The sequence below is a fragment of the Homo sapiens genome, chromosome 8 (genome assembly GCF_000001405.40).
Source record: "Homo sapiens chromosome 8, GRCh38.p14 Primary Assembly".
NCBI lineage: Eukaryota > Metazoa > Chordata > Mammalia > Primates > Hominidae > Homo > Homo sapiens.
The window spans coordinates 52,743,910-52,765,291 of record NC_000008.11 but is presented as its reverse complement, the minus strand read 5'-3'; the positions used below and the strand labels follow the sequence as shown (position 1 = coordinate 52,765,291).

Sequence of the window (21,382 nt, the reverse complement as noted above, 5' to 3'; positions counted from 1 at the left end):
AACAGGTAGTGCCCATAAAGGCGTATGTTGTTGGGTCTCCATCACTTTGGCAATTGGGCCTCCAGGTGGATGCAGTCCCTACTGAGCCCAAGGTGCGTTACTCGTTCTGTTGAATCAGTCACTCCAGTTCCATTGGGAGAAATGCAGAGTATTTCAAGGCATATTATTATTATTTGACAGCAGGGAGGTATGCATATATGCTACAATCAGACTGGTTGCTGGCTGCTGCTATAATCAGCCCAGTCCAGGAAGGCATTACCAACTGTCATGGTTAGTAGGAGCAACAGCCTATGGAAGTGAACACAGGTATTTAATAGGGACCCTTATGGGTGTATCCACTTCTTGTAACATTATTACCACTATATTTTTTTCATGGGCCTTATTAGAGAGGTCACAATGGGCTTCAGGCCTGGCTTACCGTACCACACATGGCTTCCCTTTTAGGAGCAAGCATACTAGCCAATTGGTAAGTTTCCAGCCTTGCCTATACTGCCTGCCCTGTGAGCACTCCAGCAGATATTGGTGCTGCTGCGTGTTGGTATCATAAGGCTCTCAGATATCCATCAAGGAGCACAGCTGTGACCACCTCCCCTCCAGCAGTCTTCATGGCACCCTCCAGTGCCATAAAACTGATCCAGTTTGGAGGCACTGTCCAGCTCAACTTCAGATCTACATAGCCAGTTATGTTTAGCAGATCCATTGGTGCTCTCAGGAGCATGGTCTGACCACCTGCTTCAGGAGCATGACTCAGTGACTCAGAGGTAACCCTGAGAGTTTATGAGGTCTGTTTCACAGTCCGTGCCAACCAGTCACAGGATATGATGCCATGTGTGGTAGTGGGTGACTCATCTAACCTTTGTGTGACTTCAGGGAGATTCTTAGTCCAGGGATTTAAGTATGTACTTGGGTTAAAAACAATGCATGGAATTGGGACAGTGCATGTAATTGGGTTTTCAGCAAGCCATTCTTTTTTGTAGTGATGCCTGTGCCTGTTGGGTTATATGGTAAGTGGACCTCTGGTCTAAGTTTTGTTCTGATGCCCATTTTATCCATATGGTGTCAGTCTCCATTTGCATCACAACTGTTGACCATTGGTGTTGGTGCCTTTGCTAGACCCATCAGTGTACCGGGCCCTAGAGGGTCTCAGCAGGTCCCTTCGGACACAGTGGTTGGCCTGGTAGGTGGTTCCATTGCTATGCCAGTCCCCTCTACTTGTTTAAAGTGGATGGGTCCAAGCACCTCCTGCAGTGCCTGACTTAAAGGACTTACAGGCCTGACACGGCACCCCTTTATTATAGATAGGTGCGACTGTGTCACCCTGGAGGTAGGCTTAGCTAGAATGCCTTTCACCCACTCTTGAATGAGTGGCAGTTTTTACTGTGATGGTCTGCTTTCTGGTGATGGCCTCCGCTTGTTGCAATGGTCTATGTATGGCCAATAGCTGTTGCTCTAAAACTGTATAGCAAGATTCTGCTCCTTTCCATAATTGAGATCCAAGCCCTACAGCTACCATTTCCATTGGTTGCTTTTGCCACAAACCCCAATTCATCCCTGTGGCATCTCCAGTGACTTCTAATACAAGAGGGTGCTGTGGCAGTGGGGAACCTAGTGCTTGGGTTTGCTTTCCCAATAGTTTTACTTTGGCAAAAGCCTCTTGCTCTATGTGTGTCCAGTCCCACTTTTCAGCTTTTTATAATAGGGTGTGTAATGAGTGGAGGGTTTGTGCCAAATGAGAAATGAATATTGTTCAGTATCCCAGCAAACCTAGAAAAACCTGAAGTTATTTTATCGTCTAGGAAATAGGCTGCTGTGCTATCTTATCAATGATAGCTCTGGGTGTGTTTTACATCTTACTCAACCAGGTAACTCTCAGGACTTTGATGGCCTTGCCAGATCCCTAAAACTTTTTGGAGTTGACTTTCCATCCCCTGTCTTCTAGGCTGGCCAAAGACAGTCTGCAGGGAAGCCTCCAGAGCAGCAAGAGATTCTGAGGTTAGGATGATAACATCGACATAGTAAAAAGGGAGATCAAGGCAGGCAAAGAGAGTCTAGAGAAGTCCTATGCAATCATACCATGACAGATGGTGGGCCTGTGCAGGTACCCTTATGGTAACACATGGAAAGCCCATCGTTGGCCCCCCAAGTGAAGGCAGACTGGTCCTGTGAATCTTTTGCTAAAGGAATACTGAAAAAGGCATTAGTCAATTCAATCACAGCATGGACATTTCCCAGCCTAAGGACCACCTGCTGTAGCAGCTGAGCAACACTGGGCATAGTTGCTTGTATAGAGGGCACCACTTTTTTAGCTCACAGTAGTCTACCGTCATTCACCAGGTGCCACCTGGCTTTTTCACAGGCCACACGGGGCTGGTGTAAGAGCACTGGGCCAGCCTGACTGCTTGTGTCTTATGTAATTTCTGGATTGTTTGGATGACTTCAGTGTTTCCCTGGCAGTATTGTTTCATGTTCATTGCCCGCCTGGGCCAGGACAAGTATACAGGCACCCATTTGGCCCATCCCGTTTTTATTTTTTGAATATTTTCTAGACTCAGTCCTTACTTTTATTCAGCTCAGTGAAGTCTGCTAATACTTTTCCCCGTGATAGATTTCATGAACAAGCTCAAAAGTGTAACCAATGCCCCATATTATAACCCTTTTTAATTGGAAATGACCCAAACATTCAATGAGTACCTAAAATAATTTTGATTTTAAATTACACAAAAAGCTTGCCTACAAGCATTTCTCTTATTTACATTTACCCAATTCTTTTATTTTTAGCAGTTCACCTAGATTCCCGTGAGAACTGAGACATTATAGAAGCTAATCATGATTCTAAGTTATTTTCCTGTTAACCAATTTTATAGCCTGTGACTATCAGGTGTTTACTGAAGAAAGAACATTAAAGTTGGATACATGGGCATTTTTGCCAATAACTCAGAAAATTTAGCTGTTCATATTAAATTAATCATATTTGTAAAAAAAAAAACCTACATAAACAAAAATCAATATGTTTTTGGCTAGGTTTATAGTCTTAAAACCTTCTTATCAAACCCTGACACCTTAAAATATCTAGCGGAAGCAGCCAAACATGGCGGCTCATGCCAGTAATCCCAGCACTGTGGGAGGCTGAGGCAGGAGGATTGCTTGAGATCAGGAGTTTGAGACCAGCCTGGGCAGCATAGCAAGACCTCATCTTTAATAAAAATTTTAAAAAATTAGCTGGGCATGGTGACGTGCACCTGTAGTCCCAGATACTTGGGAGGCTGAGGTGGGAGGATTACTTGAGCCCAGGAGGTCAAGACTGAGGTGAGCTATATTGTGCCACTGCATTGCAGGCTGGGTGACAGAGTGAGAACCTGTCTCAAAAAAAAAAAAAAAAAAAAAAATCCAACAGAGCAAATATTAGAGTTACCTAATCAGTAAGCTCAGACAAAAATGTATGCTGGCAATTCTGAAGACAATTTTTAGTTTTAGTTTACCAGTAATTTTAAAGCCAGCTTATTTATTAAAGTTTACTAAATTCATGTGAACTTGAAAAGCATTTGAACTTAATGTATGACTAATCACTTACTTATAAGACAATTTAGTAGCATGATAGACACAATGCATAACATAATACAGGTACATACACATAAATACATTTAAATATGTATACATGCACAAAAGATCTAATAGTTTCAAAACTCTAGTCATGAGACAGCAGCATAAATTCATTAGCTTAAAAGATAGCTCGATCTGGCCAGGCACGGTGGCTCACATCTGTAATCCCAGCACTTTGGGAGGCCGAGGCAGGTGGATCCGAGGCCAGGAGTTCAAGACCAGCCTGGCCAAGAGAGTGAAACCCTGTCTCTACTAAAAATACAAAAAATTAGCCAGATAGGGTGGCAGGTGCCTGTAATCCCAGCTACTCAGGAGGCTGAGACAGAAGAATCGCTTGAACCCAGGGGGTGGAGGTTGCAGTGAGTGGAGATGACGCCACTGCACTCCAGCCTGGGCGACAGAGTGTGACTCCATCTCTAAAAAAAAAGATAGCAGGATCCAAATTATTTTTGACTAAATTACAACCTGTCACATGGCTAAACTTTGTTTCCCCCTGTAAATAATCCAAGGAAAGAAAAAAAATTTGGAGTAAAGCAGTTTCCATAGCAGTCTGATTTTTTAAAAGCTCTTTTACCTTTTCTTCTGCAGTTTCATAGGAGTTTCCAATGTTTACATTTTAGCTGGAACTGGCTGAATTTAATAAGAAAAATAAAATGTCCATGTAGCGTTGAATTAGCAAAACCATAAACAATGAGTTTTATCTCAACACAAGTAGCTTAATAACGGTAGATTCAAAGCAGGCAAAAAAGAAAAGAGAGAAATAGAGAAATCTAGAAGACTCTACTTAACTGTATAGTTGCAGGTTAATCATTTGAGCTTTGAATTTTTTTCTTGCTGTAATTTGCCCATCAGTTAAAAACTGTGTGCAAGGATGGGCCTGCATCCAGCTGGAGTCCTAGAAAATCTGTTGTGGCTTTGAACTTTTTCATCTTTTTAAATGTGTAAGCCACAGGAAATTCTACCCTTCTTTCCTTTCCTGCTCTAACAATTTCTCAGTAGCCGACCTTACCACATGGCATATTTGCTGTCCATATCATATTTTAACATCTTAGTTTTTTGTAATAGGTACTCAGTCCCCAGTGGTGTTGTCTGAGCATCCCTGTCCCCACACAGTGGCCCACAAAGGTTGAGCAGTGGGGTAACTCCACTCCACATTTATGCCTCTGACTACCCTGTGATTCCCCCAACAGATGCTCCTTCCTGATTCATCATTTGGTCTCTTAGATCCTAGGTTAGTGACACCAGTTGTTATGAGAAAAATCTGTAATGTCCCTTCCCAAACTGGGAAGGAGCCAAGAGACAAAAAGAATGATTTGAGTAAGTCCAGCTTGGCGAGTAGATGAATTGATTAGGACTTACATACAGTGCACTCCTGAGTGGCAGCAGGACATTTTTAGAAATCCATGTCACCATCCATCTCCAAGCTACTTTCAAGCTAATGATCTGGCTCTTTGGCTACTGCCTATGTGTGATGAGACTGTTTTCCTTGGAATGTTCCTACCTATGCCCGGGGATGTTTGGGTTCTCAGGGGCACCTGAACCTCAACTGGACACCCTGGCCTTGGTTCACTGCTTGGCCTTCAGCGAGTAAGCAGCGGACATCCACCCTTAAGTAATCAAGGTGGGGGACCTGTCACATTACAGGCAGTTGTATAGGGCAGATATCTACATCAACAACCTTGAGGAAATGGGAGGATATGGAGAGCTGGAAACTATTATTATGTTAAGGGCAACTAAGCCTTGCTTTTTGTATGAGGAAGTCCAACTTATATTCAAAATGCTTGCTAAGGCAGCACAAAATTACAATAATTCACTACAGCTTTATAGAACTAGAATCACTCCATTTACTAATGTGACCATAACTCTTATGGGAAACAATACATCTATCCATACAGATTTTATTTACAAACTATGGTGAATAATATTCTTTATACTTTTTCTATTTAAAAATATATAGTTCCCATGATAGGATGAAACTATAATTTGAATCATGTTAGCTATTATACTATCCCCTTGAAATGTCTAGAAATCTTATCATACATCAAAATCAACCTCACTTGCAAGAGCTACTATAGCTCCAAGAACAAGGAGAGTGACTGACATGTCTTAGCTGCTGTTGTAATATGAGAAAAACATGGAATATAGAATTCTGAAAGAAGACATGTATTTAGGAGACTGCCAGATTTAGACTACATGATGTCAAATATCCAGGAAAAAGCAGAAAATTTCCCTTAGATTGCTGTTTGCTTACAGATATCTGGAGATTTCACATGATGTAGACATAGCATTGTAAACAACTGCCTACATTCAACACCATTTATCCAAAAACTATATACTACTTGGAAACAGCCAAAACTCTGTACTATGAAGATACAAAGTGAGCTAAATACCTCCTTTGAGGCTTGTGCCAAACACAAATCTGACACCTGGCCTCTTCAACCATCACTCAACATTCAGTCATGTTTAACACACAATAGTTTCTTTTAGATTGGTCCGAATTGCCTAGAGCTTAGGACTAGTTCTAGGGATATGGAAAGAAAATAAAGTTTTAAACTTCCAAATGTAAAAATAAGATATTTCTTTTGTATTGCTGTTCAAATATTTAAATTATTTTTATTGATACATAGTATTTATACATATTTATAGGGTCCATGTGACATTTTGTTACATGCATAGAATATGTAATGATCAAGTCAGAGTGTTTAGGATATCTTTCACCTCGACCATTGATCATTTCTGTGTGCTGGGAGCATTTTAAACCTCTCTTCTAGCTATTGTGAAATATACAACACGTTGTTAATTATAGTAACCCTACTCTTCTATTGAACACTGTAACTTACTTATTTCTTCTATCTAACTGTATTTTTTGCACCCATTAACCAACCTCTCCTCATACCCCTGCACCTCCCAATGCACACCCATCCATCCCAGTCTATGGTAACTATCATTCTATTCTCTACCTCCATGAGTTCAACTTTTTTTTAGCCCCCCACTGTGAGTGAGAGCACGCCATATTTGTCTTCCTGTGCCTGGCTTATTTCACTTAACTTAATGACCTCTAGTTCCATCCATGTTTCTGCAAATGACAAGGTTTCATTCTTTTTTATGGCCAAATAGTACTCCATCATGTGTATATATACCACATTTTCTTTATCCATATGCCAATTGATGAATACTTGGGTTGATTCCATATCTTGGCTATTGTGAACAGCGCTGCAATAGACATGTGAGTACAAGTATCCCTTTAATATACAGATTTCTTTTACTTTGGATAAATACTCAGTAGTGAGACTGCAGGATTGTATGGTAGTTCTAAAAAAGTTCTTGAGTAATCTTCATACTGTTTTGCTTAGTGGCTGTACTGATTTACATTCCCACCAACAGTATATAAGAGGTTATTTTCTCTGCATCTTTGTTAGCATCTTTTTTTTTTGTCTTTTTAATAATAGCCATTCTAACTGCGGTAAGATGATATCTTGTGGTTTTCATTGCATTTCTCTGATGATTAGTGATGTTGAGCATTTTTTTCATATACCGGTTGGCCATTTGTATGTCTTCTTTTGAGAAATGTCTACACTTGTCATTTGCCCACTTTTCACTGGGATTATTTGTTTTTATACTGTTGAGTTGTTTGGGTTCCTTGTATATTCTGGATATTAGTGCTTTGTTGGATGAATAGTTCGCAAATATTTTATCTCACTCAACAGGTTATCTCTTCACTCTGTTAATTGTTTGCTGTGCAGAGCTTTTTAGTTTAATAGTTTAGAGTTAAGAGTTTATAGTCCCATCTGTCTATTTTTTGTTGCTGTTGCCTATGCTTTTGAGGTCTTAGTTATAAAATCTTTGCCTAGACCAATGTGTTGAAGTGTTTCCCCTGTTTTCTTCCAGTAGTTTTATAGCTTGGGGTATTCCATGTAAGTCTTTTATCCGTCTTGAGTTTATTTTTGTATATGGCAAGAGACGGGGTCCAGTTACATTCTTTTGCTTATGGATATCCAGTTTTCCCAGCTCCATTTATTGAAAAGCTTGTCTTTTCCTCAGTAGATGTGCTTGACACCTTTCTTAAAAATCAGTTCACTGTTATTGCTTAGATTTATTTCTGCATTGTCTATTTTGTTCCATATGTCTATGTGGAGACACAGACATTTGTTTTTAGATCAATACCATGCTGTTTTGATTAATACATCTTTGTAAAATATTTTGAAGTCAGATAGAGTGATGCCTTCAGCTTTATTATTTTTGTTCAGAATTGCTTTGGCTACTTAGACTCTTTTTCAGTACCATATGAATTTTAGAATGTTTTTTCTATTTCTGTGAAAAATGACATTATTTTGATAAGAATTGTCTTGAGTTTGTAGATTGCTTTGGATAATATGATCATTTTAACAATATAAGTTCTTCCAGTCCTTGAGCATGGGATGTCTTTCCTTTTGTTGTATCCTCTTCAATTTCTTTCTTCAGTGGTTTGTAATTTCCTTTCTAGAGGTCTTTCACCTCCTGTTTTTCCTGAAGATGTTGGTTGGGTAGGACACTTTGGCTTTGATTCTGGTCACATGCAGTAGTAAAGTTTCCATATAGTTTCTTTGGCTATAAACAGCTTAAATAGTTTCTATAGTTAACTCAGCTGTTTAGGGTGCAGTTGCTAGTGGTGGCTCCGGTGACATTTTGCTGGGGATGGGTACACCAGGTTGGCCAGTAATCTGGCCCCAGTGTTGGCAGTGGTGGGCACAGCACATGCCTATCTTTGGACCTCAGGGTGGCATATGTTAGCACTTGTGTTATGTTGTCCAGGCAGGCCAATTTCTTGAGCCTCAGAAAGCTTGTTTGAGTGCTGGCAACAGTAGTGGCAGGCCATGTTGGTGGGTGGGTCCTTGGACCTGGGCAGCAGGCATGGCATGAGAGATGACAGCAGCAGTGGTGGAACAACTCTCTGGCTCCCTAGTGGTTTGTATTGGTGTTGGCAGTGGCTGTGACAGGCTGGGCAGGCCAGTTCCCAGGCCCACAGGTAGCAAATATGGGTAAGTGCCAGCTGAGAGTGGCAGTGGCAAGTTGGTGGACCACTCCTCAGCCCCTGGGAGGAGTGCTTAGGTGTCAACAATGGTGGATTATACACAGTGATTCCCAGGCCCCTTGGACGGCATGCTTGGACACTGGGAGAGGTAGAGCTGGGTCCCATGGGCCTGTACTCAGGCCCTTTGGTGGTGCATGTGGGCATAAAGGTGGTGGGAAGGGGCAGGTTATGCCCAAGGGGCAAAGTTATCCCCAGCCCCCACCCTGCCTTTCACGCCACCCTCCTCCACAAAGAAGAACCAAAATAACAAGCAGATAATCACACCTCAAATAGATCATCTAAGAGAGAACACTGAAATTCAACAGGAAAGTGATAGGAAACCCCTAAACAAGGAAGGAGAAGTAAGTGAGGCAGCCTCTCCTTGTTTCATGTGAATTAAACAGAGTGGTAGGATGGGGTAAAAAGAAATGCCATTTTTCACATACCATAATGACCTTTTTTATTATGTATTCATTTGTGTGTTTTATATCACCCGATTAGAAAGTAATCTCCATGAGGAAAGGTCATGAGAAAGATGACCATGTGTTGGTCATCTCATGGGATACACCTCTTTCAGGCATTTTTCTAATCTGTAAAAATAGGAAGAATAATGCCTATATTTCAGGGTTGTTAAGAGTTTGAGTTGACATTAATCACTAGATAAGTAAGAAAATGTCCATTATTGTTAGTGATGCATGTTGAGGTATGTAGGGGTATCATGCTGTAACACTAGGATTCACTTTAAAATACTTCAGCAAAAAAAAAAAAGGCTAGAGGCAAATGGGTGCAAAATCTTGATAATTGTGGAACTAGGGTCAGGGTCAGGGATATATGGCTATACATTGTAGTTTTCGCTTTATTTTTGTATATGTTTTTTGGTGTTTGTTTGTTTGTTTGTTTTTTGAGACGGAGTCTTACTGTATCACCCAGGCTGGAGTGCAGTGGAGCGATCTTGGCTCACTGCAACCTCCGCCTCCCAGGTTGAAGCAAATCTCCTGCCTCACCCTCCTGAGTAGCTGAGATTACAGGTGGGTGCCACCATGCCTGGCTAATTTTTCTATTTTTAGTAGACGGGGTTTCATCATGTTGGCCAGGCTGGTCTTGAACTCCTGGGCTCAAGTGATCTGCCTGCCTCAGCCTCCCAAAGTGCTGGGATTACAGGCATGAGCCACCGCACCCGGCCTGTATATGCTTTTAGGTTTCATTAAAACAGTTTTAAACAATAGCATTAGAAAAGTTTTTCAGGCCACAGTCATGCTGTCTCTTTGCAATTGCTTTTGTCAATCTACATGTCAAACAGAGCTCTCTTTTTCAAAAAAAAAGGTATTTATTTAGGAATATGGCATTGTGATAGTAATACATGTGCCATAGTAAACCATGATAAACTATGTGCATATTCCCACTGCAATGCCCTATTCAGGAATAAATAGTATTTTTTTTTTTTCTGAGACAGAGTTTCGCTCTTGTTGCCCAGGCTGGAGTTCAATGGTGCGATCTCGGCTCACTGCAACCTCTGCCTCCTGGGTTCAAGTGATTCTCCTGCCTCGGCCTCCCGAGTAGCTGGGATTACAGGCATGCACCACCATGCCCAGCTAATTTTGTATTTTTAGTGGAGACGGGGTTTCTCCATGTTGGTCAGGCTGGTCTCGAACTGACCTCAGGTGATCAGCCTGCCTCGGCCTCCCAAAGTGCTGGGATTACAGGAGTGAGCCACCATGCCCAACCAATAGTATTTATTTTAGAGATCCTTCTCTGTTTATTTGGGTAGTCTGAAATGGTGCCCAGAAGCAGACCTGGGACAAGATCACTTTCTGAAGGAATCAACAACTCTTAGAACCAGTGTGCAGTACTCACTTGAGCCATTTGAGCTCTCTGCTTCCACAGCTTACTTTCTCTTCTTTGGTGAGTCTTTTGTCAGGCAAAGTCTCCCTCATTTTGAGTTTTTTTTTTTTTTTTTTTACTTTATTCAGGATTTATTTTGGTTATAAGGCCATCTTCAATAAAGGACATTACATCCCTTCTGGTATAATAAAATACTTTTTGTCTCTTCTGCCAAGTCTTTTTTGGTATAAAGACAAGTGTCCTGGTTTGAGTACTCTGGTTTCTACAAAATTTATGTTCTGTCACTGAGGCATGTCTTTTCTGGTGAATTTGCCTTCGAGGTTTAGTTTGTTTGTTTGTTTTACTTTTTATTATTTCTGCATGACTCATTTAACATTTTATTTGATCTGCACAACCTGGGTTAAAATTTTTGTGAGCACTTTGATTTTGGTTTGGTTGTATGTGTCTGTAAGTAATTTGGCTCTTCTTCCTTGCTTGTATCCAAAAATCTTCCAAGAGCAAAAGTAAACAAAAATAGTGTGAGCAGGGTGGCTAAACTACCACTAGGGTGGCTGCCACTGTCTAAACACTGAACTAAACTCCTGGCATTCTCTGACAGAATTTATAGGATTGTCTTAGCTCTTGAGAGATTAATAAGAAACAGAATGGGATTCCCAAACATTAAAGCATGCCAAGTTCTCTGGACTCCAGCTGGTTACATATTATGGCCCATTCTTGTGTACATTTTAAAATCAATGGGCAAATTACATCAAGAAAAATTCAGAGATTTAATGGTCCTGATTGGAACTCTAAAAAACCTGCAATGATAAGAGTTACCATATAGAGCTAAGTTCTCTATCACTCTTTTTTCTCTGCCTACTTTGAATCTGCTGATTTTTTTCGCTGATGTTGAGATAAAACTCACTGTTTATGGCATTCCATCAAAGATTAAATTTTTCTAAAAAAGCTGTAAAAATTGTTAATGCTTCCCTACCTGCAGTGACTAGTCAAGCCAATGAAACCAGCAAACAAAAGATAGATTTGTTACTAAAAATTCAAGGCTATTGGAGATTTTGTTTTTCTTATACAGTTAAGCCAGCCAGTCCTAGCAAAACTTATTTGAAACTAAAAAAATAAAAAGGGGGTGGTGGTAAAGGAAATGTTTGCTTTATTTTATATATTTTATTTTATGTTTATTTTTATTTTTTTGAGATGGAGTCTCGCTCTGTTGCCCAGGCTGGAGTGTAATGGCGTGATCTTGGCTCACTGCAACCTCCGTCTCCCAGGTTCAAGGGATTCTCCTGCCTCAGCTTCCCGAGTAGCTGGGATTACAAGCACCCGCCATCAAGCCCAGCTAATTGTTGTATTTTTAGTAGAAACAGGGTTTCACCATGCTGGCCAGGCTGGTCTCGAACTCCTGCCTCGGCCTCCCAAAGTGCTGGGATTACAAGTGTGAGCCACTGCGCCAGGCTATTTTATATATTTTAGAGACAAGGTCCCACTCTGTCACCCTGGTTGCAGTGCAATGGCACCTTCTTAGCTCACTGCACCGTTGAACTCCTGAGCTCAAGGGATCCTTCTGCCTCAGCTAGGACTATAGGCATGTTGCATCATGCCCAGTTAATTAAAAAAAAAATTATAGAGATGGGAGTCTCACTATGTTGCCTAGACTGGTCTTGAATTGCTGGCCTCAAGCAATCCTCCTGTCTTGGCCTCCCAAAGTGCTGAGATTATAGGGATTACCACACCACACCTGACCAAAATGTTTTTAAAACCAAACTTCTTTACCAGAAATTTTGGTTCACAGCTTTTATTAGATTATCTATTGAGGCAAATAAAGTTTTAGCTATGTGAACATGTCCTATTCTGTCAGAAATATAATTTGGAAACAACTGTCTTTTGTAAACCAGTGAGTTCACATGTTTTACTGTCTCAAAATTCTAAAATGAAACCTATAAAATCTTTGTTTGTATGTTTTATATGTCTAGGTTTATTTATGAATATGTACCTGTCTTACGTTATAAGTTGTGTCTACATGGTAAAATCTGGCAAAGTCAGCCTGAAATCCCTTAAGAATTTGGGTTAATTACTATATATTTTGTTGCTAAATAACATATTTAGTTAATTACTGTATATTTTATTACACTTATCTAGGCCAATGGCTTAGATAAGTGAGTGCTCATATAAAATATATAGTAATTAATCCAAATGGCTTTTAGTTCATGTGACTTAAGTACATCTTTGATTTAAAAAAACTTTTAAAATAGTAAAATAAAAATAGAAATGTCCTTAAAATTCTCAGCATACATTTTTGCCTTTGTTTACTAGTCAGAGTTTTATATTTTCTCTGCTAATGTTTTAAGGTGTCAGGGTTTGACATAAAGGTTATAAAACTATAAATCCATCCTAAATTACATTCTGGAATTACTAAAAATGGGAACTGCTCTGTTCCTAAAGCCTTATAAGCTGATATTGGATTAATTTTAAGGAACAAGTCTCATACCTGATGTATGGATCACACAAAAAGTTCACCAACTACCCAATGCCATAACCAGAGCCATTCAAACTGCAAACCAGGAGGAGAAGTTGATGTTTTCATGCTATAGACAACTTCTCCCAAGATATGGGAGCAACATTCTGTATCATAATGAGACTCATATCCCTACCTTTTTCACTCTAATGCCTACCTTTTTCAATTGATAGGACAATGGTCATTTGATTTATTCAATTGGTTGTTTTTAAGCCTAGGTTCATGGCTCAAAACCATTATGAAAACTGGGATTGTCATATTACTATTAATTTTATTTTTTATTTTCCCTTTTTAAGCTTTGTATCTGTAACTTGTTAAGTTTTTACAGAAATACACAGTAATCACAAACTTACTATCTGCCATTCCATATGTCGGAGCAGACCTGGTCCAGTGAGTCTGAAGTGGCTATTCAGTAGACAAACCCACCCTCACATGATTCTTCACTTTCCACTTTATCCTATCTTTTATTATCACAGCCCTAACAGCCCTACACCTACTATTCCTACACGAAACAGGATCAAATAACCCCTCAGGAATCCAACTCCTATCAGAATAATGCTGGCCCACAGGTTTTGAGTTGATAGCTAAAGACTATAGAACAAACAAAATTGAACCTAAAAATGGACTCTAGGTAGACTAAGTCGAAGAGCAAGTCCCTTCAAACCTCCCCTGTTGCTCAAATGTGGCTAAAGTATTTTGACACTGACTCCTAGCCATCAATCACTTCCTCCCAGGTGGGATGAGACCAGAAACCCAGAACAGGTTAATCCCAGGTATCAAGGGACAATCAGAGCTTAACTACAGGATGATTAATCAGTGATGCTTTTAAAGAAAGATCTTGATCAAAAGGGGGAAACATGAAAGTTGTCAGTATCAAAATGGAGCTACTCATGTTTAAAAAATATATATATATTGACAAATTGATCCAGGAATGCCATTAAAGGAGGGTTCTCATGCACAAATTACTGATAACAAAAACTAGCACAAAGGACTCTGCAAAGCCACAACCTTGCACAAAGGCCATCACAACCTCACACAAGAAGCACTAGCTATGAGGACATCTGCCCAGCTTCTGCTTATCCAGCCTCAGATTCGTGCCATGTTCATCATTGATCGTTGGAGCCAAGGATAATTATCTCAAAACAATTATATAGTCTTCCTCATTTTTCCTTTAAAAACCTTCTTTTTTTTTTTTTTTTTTTTTTTTCTGAGATGGGGTCTCTCTGTCTCCCAGGTTAGAGTGGAGTGGCATGATCTTGGCTGACTGCAACCTCCACCTCCTAGGCTCAAGCGATCCTCCCCCCTCAGCCTCCCAAGTAGCTGTGACTACAGGCACATGCCACCATGCCCAGCTAATTTTTTTGCTGTTGTTGTATTTTTGGTAGATAGCTTAAGCGATCCACCTGCCTCAGCTCCCAAAGTGCTGGGATTACAGGCATGAGCCACCATGCTCTGCCCCTAAAATCCCTCTTTACTCCTGGAATATGCACATAGTTGATATTGCAATGCTGTATTTCTGAATAAATATCATTTCCTTTTAGAGAGCCTCTCTCTGTTGTTTAAGTCGACACTTTCAGTGGTTCTGTTATGATTCCTATTATGTGAATGTTATTAGCTTAACTCTTAGGGGATAATTTTGGGAAGGAATTCATCATTTGCTTTTTTGTGCCATCTCTATCATTATAAACATGTTCCTATTTCTATGTTTTAATTGTGAATGTATTTTTCCAGCAGGACAATAGGGAAATGAAAAATAAGAAAAATTTTCTTCTGCCAAGCTCCCATTTTTCCCTGTTCCTAGCAGAGCTGGCACAGAGCAGAGGTTCTTGATGGATGATTTTCACCTACTTAGAATTATAATATAATTATATATTACATTTATATACAACTCAAAGTAGGAAATTTACAGGTTTGCATAATCAAAACCTGAGAAGGACAGAGGAGACGTGGCTATGGGGCTGAGTAGGATGTGGAGACTGGTGGGGGTGAGAATTTGTTTGCCCCTCATCTCACATCTGCTGCCAAGTCAGTTCTCTCCAAACTTCTCCTCAAGGCAGTGAGTTGCCCCATGCATAGCTCTGACCTCACCTCCTCATGGCCTCAGTGTCAGTGAAGAAAAAGACCCTATCATCTGACATCCAGTTAAAAGGACCCCAGGGAAGGACTTTGATAGGCCTGGTTGAGGACATCTTGCCCTTGTGGCCAGAAAGTGAGGAAATGAAATGGACTCAGGTTCAGGTAAGAGGTCTACCCAATCATAAATGGTAATGTGTGGTGGAGGGCACTCCCATTGTGACCATATGGTTTAAGTTTGGAGTGGGATTTTAATTTATCCAAAGAAGAAGCTGACTATTCTAAGAGACAGGAGACATTCTGGGTAGACAACCAAAGAAACATCCTTCATGACTGACAAATTTGATTGATGGTATTAACTGTACCGAATCATTCTTTATTTTACAGAGGAAAAATGTACTACTTAAGAATAACTGAGTCACTCAATGACCTGTTTCAACCATGGTCCATCATCCCTTATAATCTCTCCCTTGCAAGCAATTTTAACCCCTGTGTCCACTCACCCTTCATCATAATTGCATAGTAAAACTTTCACTTATCTGCCTACTCAGAATCTTCACTTGAGCAGCTAAAGATCAATGTCAATCAACCCATAGTTGTACTGATGGATGTCATACTACATGTATGACTATAAATCGTAAATGGGCATTCAACAATTACTTTTCTCTAGTAATATTCACTTAAACACTTGGAAAAAGAATAAACAATATCTTACCTAATCCTTCCTCTTCAACCTCCTCTACCTCCTCCATTACTCTCAACAAATGACCTTGCCTGTCTTCAATTGAAAGAAAGAAAGGAAATGATAAATGGGCATCATTTATAAAATGCTTTCTGGTCATCAAACACATGTTTGCCAGATACTTCCAGGTCTTTCCACCCTCTGTGTATATGGAGGTTCATGCTTTCGGCGTCTTCAAGTAATTTGCTCTGGCCAGTGAGTTAAGTGCAAAATGATGTGTGTCACTCCAGAACTGTCTTTTGCCCTGGTATGATAACCAGCAGTGTTGAAGATGGTAGCTGTACAGTCAAGCTGGATCCCTGATGAACTACAATGCACAGAGCCTGACATCCTTGCCAAATAGGCAATACATGTACGGCATGAGTGAGAAATCAATTTCTATTGTTTTAAGTCTCTGAGATTTGGGGTTGTGAAAGTGTGATATAATATGAAATATATTATTGGTCTCTGACCTCTGATTCCTGGCACAGAACCTCTATTTATTTTTATTTTTGAAGAGATGGGGTCTTGCATGTTGCCCAGGCTGGTCTCAAACTGCTGGCCTTGAAAGTGATCCTCCCGCCTCTGCTTCCCAAAGTGCTGGGATTACAGGCATGAGCCACTTGCACCTGACCCATTCTGGCACAGAGCTGCTAAAGCTCTTGGAATTAGGGGCACTAGGAGAATCTTTTGTTCTAATATTTGGTCTTTGACAAATATTGGAGGTCTGTTCCTTACACAGAGCTTCTAAGACTTTGTAATTTCCTGAGTGGTACGAGCATCTGACACTGAGCTCCTAAATCTTTTGGTATTTCCTGGATGACAGGAGCATCTATTGCTTTAATGAAGTGATTTTTGGTGGGTTCCTGAATGGCCTCAGGATAGGGGAAACCAACCATGTGATTAGAGAGTTGCAACTTCAGCCCCACTTCACCTTCAACCTCCCACAAGGGGAGAGAGCTGAAGATTGAGTTCATCATCAGTAGCCAGTGATGTAGTCAGTCGTGCCTCCATGAAAACCCAAAAGGACAGGATCGGATGAGCTTCCAGATAGCTAAACACGTGGAGTTTCCTGGAGGGCAGCACACCTGGAGAGGACATGGAAGCTCCATGCCTCTCCTCCCATACCTTGCCCTATGCATCGCTTCCATCAGGCTATTCGTCTGTATTCTGTGTAAAATTCTTTATAAGAAATGGGTAAATATTCCCACTCTAGCCACTGTAGCAAATTAGTAAAACCTGAAGAGTGGGTCATGGGAATTCCAATTTATAACTGGTCTGTCAGAAGCACAGGTTACAATCTGGAACTTGGAATTGCCATCTAAAGTAGGGGGCAGTATTATGGAACTGAGCTCTCAATTTGTGTGATCTGACACTATCTCTAGGTAGACAATGTCAGAATTGAACTGGATAAATTCAATTAATTAATTGGTGCCTGCTGAGGATTGTTTGGTGTGTGGGGGGAACCCCCACATACCTGGTATCAGAAGTGAAGGGTCGGCCGGCTGCAGTGGCTCATGTCTGTAATCCCAGCACTTTGCGAGGCTCAGGTGGGCAGATCACTTGAGGTCAGGAGTTTAAGACCAGACTGGCCAACATGGCAAAACCCTGTCTCTACTAAAAATACAAACATTAGCCGGGTGTGGTAGTGCATGCCTGTAATCCCAGCTATTAGGGAGGCTGAGGCAGGAGAATTGCTTGAACCTGTGGGCGTGGAGGTTGCAGGGAGTGAAGATCATGCCACTGCACTCCAGCCTGGGTGACAGAGTGAGACTCCGCCTCAAAAAAAAAAATAAAAAGAAGTGAAGGGTCAAGTGGGTCAAGTGACTTGTATCTGAGAACAGGAAAAGCATCATGTTTTTTTCCTGTCACTCAGGGGTTCAGATCTTGTGCTGCTTCTCTCCACTTATCTATAATTTCTCTTAATTATTTTCATCTGGTCATATGGTTGTAATTATTATCTATGCAGTAATCAGTGTCCTAGCCTCTGCCCAAATCTAAGCTCTGAGTATGAGCGGGGTGGGGTGCAGTGTAAACTTCTTACAGTGCTAACCCGATTATGTTATCAGCCGGTTTAAAAACCTTTAGACATGGGTGGGGGGGCTCTGATTAAAAAAACAAAACAAAACCTTCAGTGGCTCCCCAACCATTCGGCTTGTCATAAGTAACTTCACAATCTTGCCTTCTTTTCCCTTATGTCATACCTACAACCCTCTAGGGTGAAAACTTAACTCTCAGTGATGCCTTGTTCTCTTTTCCTTTACAGCTTTTAATTTTCACAAACACTGGCCCTTGTGGGAGGGGGCAAGGTAGAGGGAAAAAGGCTTTTCTTCTTTTTTTTTTTTTGAGATGGAGTTTTGCTCTTGTCTGTCTCCTGAGTTCAAGCGATTCTCCTGCCTCAGCCACTGCAACCTCTGCCTACTGCGATCAAGTGATTCTCCTGCTTCAGCCTCCCAAGTAGCTGGGATTACAGGTGCCTGCTACCATGCCCCGATCTTTTTTTTTCTTTTTTGTATTGTTAGTAGAGACGGGGTTTCGTCATGTTGGCGAGGCTGGTCTCGAACTCCTAACCTCAGTGATCTGCCCACCTCGGCCTCCCAAAGTGCTAAGTACAGGCATCAGCCACTGTGCCTGGCCGCTTTTCTTCTACATATATATATATGTACATATACATATATTTTTTTAAGACAGAGTCTTGCTCTGTCACCCAGGCTGGAGTACAGTGGCGTGATCTTGGCTGAGTGCAGCCTCTGCCTCCCGGGTTCAAGCAATTCTCCTGCCTTAGCCTCTTGAGTAGATGGGATTACAGGCGTGTTGCCACCACGCCCAGCTAATTTTTGTATTTTTAGCGGAGACGGGATTTCATCATGTTGGCCAGGCTGGCCTCAAACTCCTGACATCAGGTAATCCACCAGCCCCGGCCTCCCAAAGTACTGGGATTACAGGCGTGAGCCGCCTCGCCTGGCCTGAAAAAGGCTTTTCTTCTATCTAGGCCAGTTTCTCTGGCTTTTCAGTTTGCTTAGAGGGAGACTCCTGCCAACCTCTCCCTTTCCAAACCCCTTCCCCACCTGCCACCTCTCTACGCTTTGTTTTGCCTCAAAGAGTAGGTGGCTGTCCCTCCGGAGACCGCACCGCTCCCAATGCTGCTGAGCATCACAGCACTCACAATGAATTGTACTGACTGCTTCCTCTCACTTCCCTCTTCACAACTGTAAATTCTTTTGAGGATAAGACTTGGTTGAATGTACTTATTTATTTTTCATATTTCTAGCTTTTAGTACTGCCTGGAACCGAGAAGCGCCCCAATAACTATTTGCTGAGTCCATGAATCAATCTTGATCTATTCTACTACATAACGTGATGAGACTCTTTCGGTTTCTCCCGCGATAATAAATCTATATCCTATCTCCTGGGAAACGGAATTAACTCCTACCTGAAGACCAAAAAGCTCTTTTGTCTTCTTTTACATTTATTTATTTATTTATTTATTTATTTATTTATTTATTTATTTGGGACTGGGTCTTGCTCTGTCGTCCAGGCTGGCTCAAAGCAGCCTCGACCTCGTGGGCATAAGCGGTCCTCCCATCTTAGCCTCCTGTGTAGGTGGGACCACAGGCCCGCGTCACCACGCCCAGCTATTTTTTGTTTTTGGTAGAGAGGGAGCTTCGCCATGTTTCTCAGGCTGATCTCGAATTTCTGACCTCAAGTAATCCGCCCGCCTCGGCCTCAGAAGTGCTGAGATTAGGGGCTTGAGCCACCGCACCCGACCTTCTTTTAAATTTAAATTAGATGGCCAGAGGTGGGGCAAATGCATAAATACCCTAAAAAGGATTTAAGGAAGAGAGTTCTGAGGTGTTTATTCTGAACTTAGAACTAACGTTTCTACAGCATTTGCTTTCGTCCGCCTCTACCTCCACCACGGAAGGATAAGAACTAGACTTTGACAAGGTAATTGTGATATTCTTAGCAGTCGTTGTGTATTTCAAATGCTAAACAAAAAGTACTGAATTGATTTTTTGACAGCATAGAAAAGTGAAAATGGTTTGGTCATTTTGTTTTGTTTTGTTTATATGACACAATATCATCAAGCAATTGTTTGGTCATTTTTTTGAGCATTAGTTTGCTTTGATATTCAATGATTTTTTAAAAATAGAAATGTTTGAGAAACATTTTTTCTTGTAGATTATTTTATTTAATTGTGAATTCGATAATTCTCAAATAATGCTAGGGAGACAAAGTCACACACAAAAAGATTTCATATAAAACTATTCTTTAAAGTGAAAGCTCATTGACTAAGCCGTCAATTAAAGCATACTCAGACTAAAAAAGTTTTCAAAATAGAATTAACTGTGAATGGTCTTTTTACAAACCTGGAAGTAGAGCCAAGTTAAATTCTTCTAGCGAGGAGCCATGGAAATGTGCCAAGGCATTTTTGAACTTGAGAAATTAAGAATTTTGACAAATGAAATACATTTTCTGTCATTGGAATTCATACTTTTAAGAATATTTGAAATTTCTTCAAGTGCTTCGGTTGTCCTGTGCTGTGACATTTCTTAGTCTTTCAGTATGTCTGCATGGGTACACATAAACATAATTAGGCAAATCTGATTTAGAAATATCTTTGCAAAATCGACACTTAGGAGAGTTCTATAGAAAGGAGTTAATCCAGAAAAACAAGCTGTTGTGAGTTAGGTTTCCAATTTGTCAAAAGCAGTTACCTTTAGAATTGTTCTTAGTCGGCCAGGCGCGGTGGCTCACGCTTGTAATCCCAGCACTTTGGGAGGCTGTGGTGCGCGGATCACGTGAGGTCAGGAGTTGACCAGCCTGGCCAACGTGGCAAAACCCCGTCTCTACTAAAAATACAAAAGCTAGCTGGGCGTGATGGCGGGCGCCTGTAATCCCAGCTATTCGGTAGGCTGAGGTAGGAGAATGGCTGGAACCCGGGAGCCGGATGTTGCAGTGAGCCGAGATCGCGCCATTGCACTCCACCCTGGGCGACAGACCGAGATTCTGTCTCAAAAAAAAAAAAAAAAAAAAAAAAAATCAGAATTGTTCTTAGCAATTATTTAGACACTTGATCTTAGACAAAAGGTCGAGAAGCGATAGCAGTTATTTACTGGTCCCAAAAGAAATCCTGTCTGGTTTTACCTAAGAAATGAGATGCTAAATTAATCCTTATATCATTGATTGACTAGTGTCTTAAGAGAGGCGATATATTTACTTGAACACTATTATTTTTGAAGTTTAATCCAAATGTTTTAGTTCAAATGGTTGTGAATACTTCCAGAAAAGCACATGTGAAAGAAATGCGCCATAAGCCAGCAGTCCAAGTATTTACTGCTGTCATAGCACTTCAACTATCTGTATTTGCATTTTCTTCTTCCTAAACATTTGTTTTATTGTCATGATCTACTTGCAGTTCTCTTAACAACTCTTGTCCCACGGCTTACTGCATCACCTGAGAAGGTTAACAAACCCTGCTTCACCCTTGCAAGCCTACCAATTGTTTTCACAGTTTCAGCTTAAACATCTCACTAGTGCTCCTTGCCACTGGCAGTCCTGATCATAGATCTCAGCTTCCTACCTT

General features: G+C 40.9%; 1 long non-coding RNA gene across 1 annotated transcript in view, besides 1 other annotated feature; it reads right to left on the bottom strand.

The window, feature by feature from the left end:
- Positions 1 to 20,805, bottom strand: part of LOC105375835 (uncharacterized) — a 37,314-nt gene extending 16,509 nt beyond the window's left edge. The window contains exons 1-2 of the long non-coding RNA XR_001745898.2: positions 20,514 to 20,805; positions 20,166 to 20,365 (exon numbers count right to left, since the gene is read on the bottom strand). This is a non-coding gene — a long non-coding RNA (uncharacterized LOC105375835). The remainder of the gene's footprint in view (positions 1 to 20,165; positions 20,366 to 20,513) is intronic.
- Positions 370 to 1,569: an enhancer, noted in NCBI's record as "P300/CBP strongly-dependent group 1 enhancer chr8:53676283-53677482 (GRCh37/hg19 assembly coordinates)". NCBI's record gives its function as "activates an origin of replication core promoter dependent on BRD2, BRD4, P300/CBP, MED14 and CDK7 cofactors, with strong dependence on P300/CBP, by STARR-seq in HCT116 cells {active_cell/tissue: HCT116}" and the evidence as "EXISTENCE:reporter gene assay evidence [ECO:0000049][PMID:35650434]".
- Positions 20,806 to 21,382: the final 577 nt, after the last annotated feature.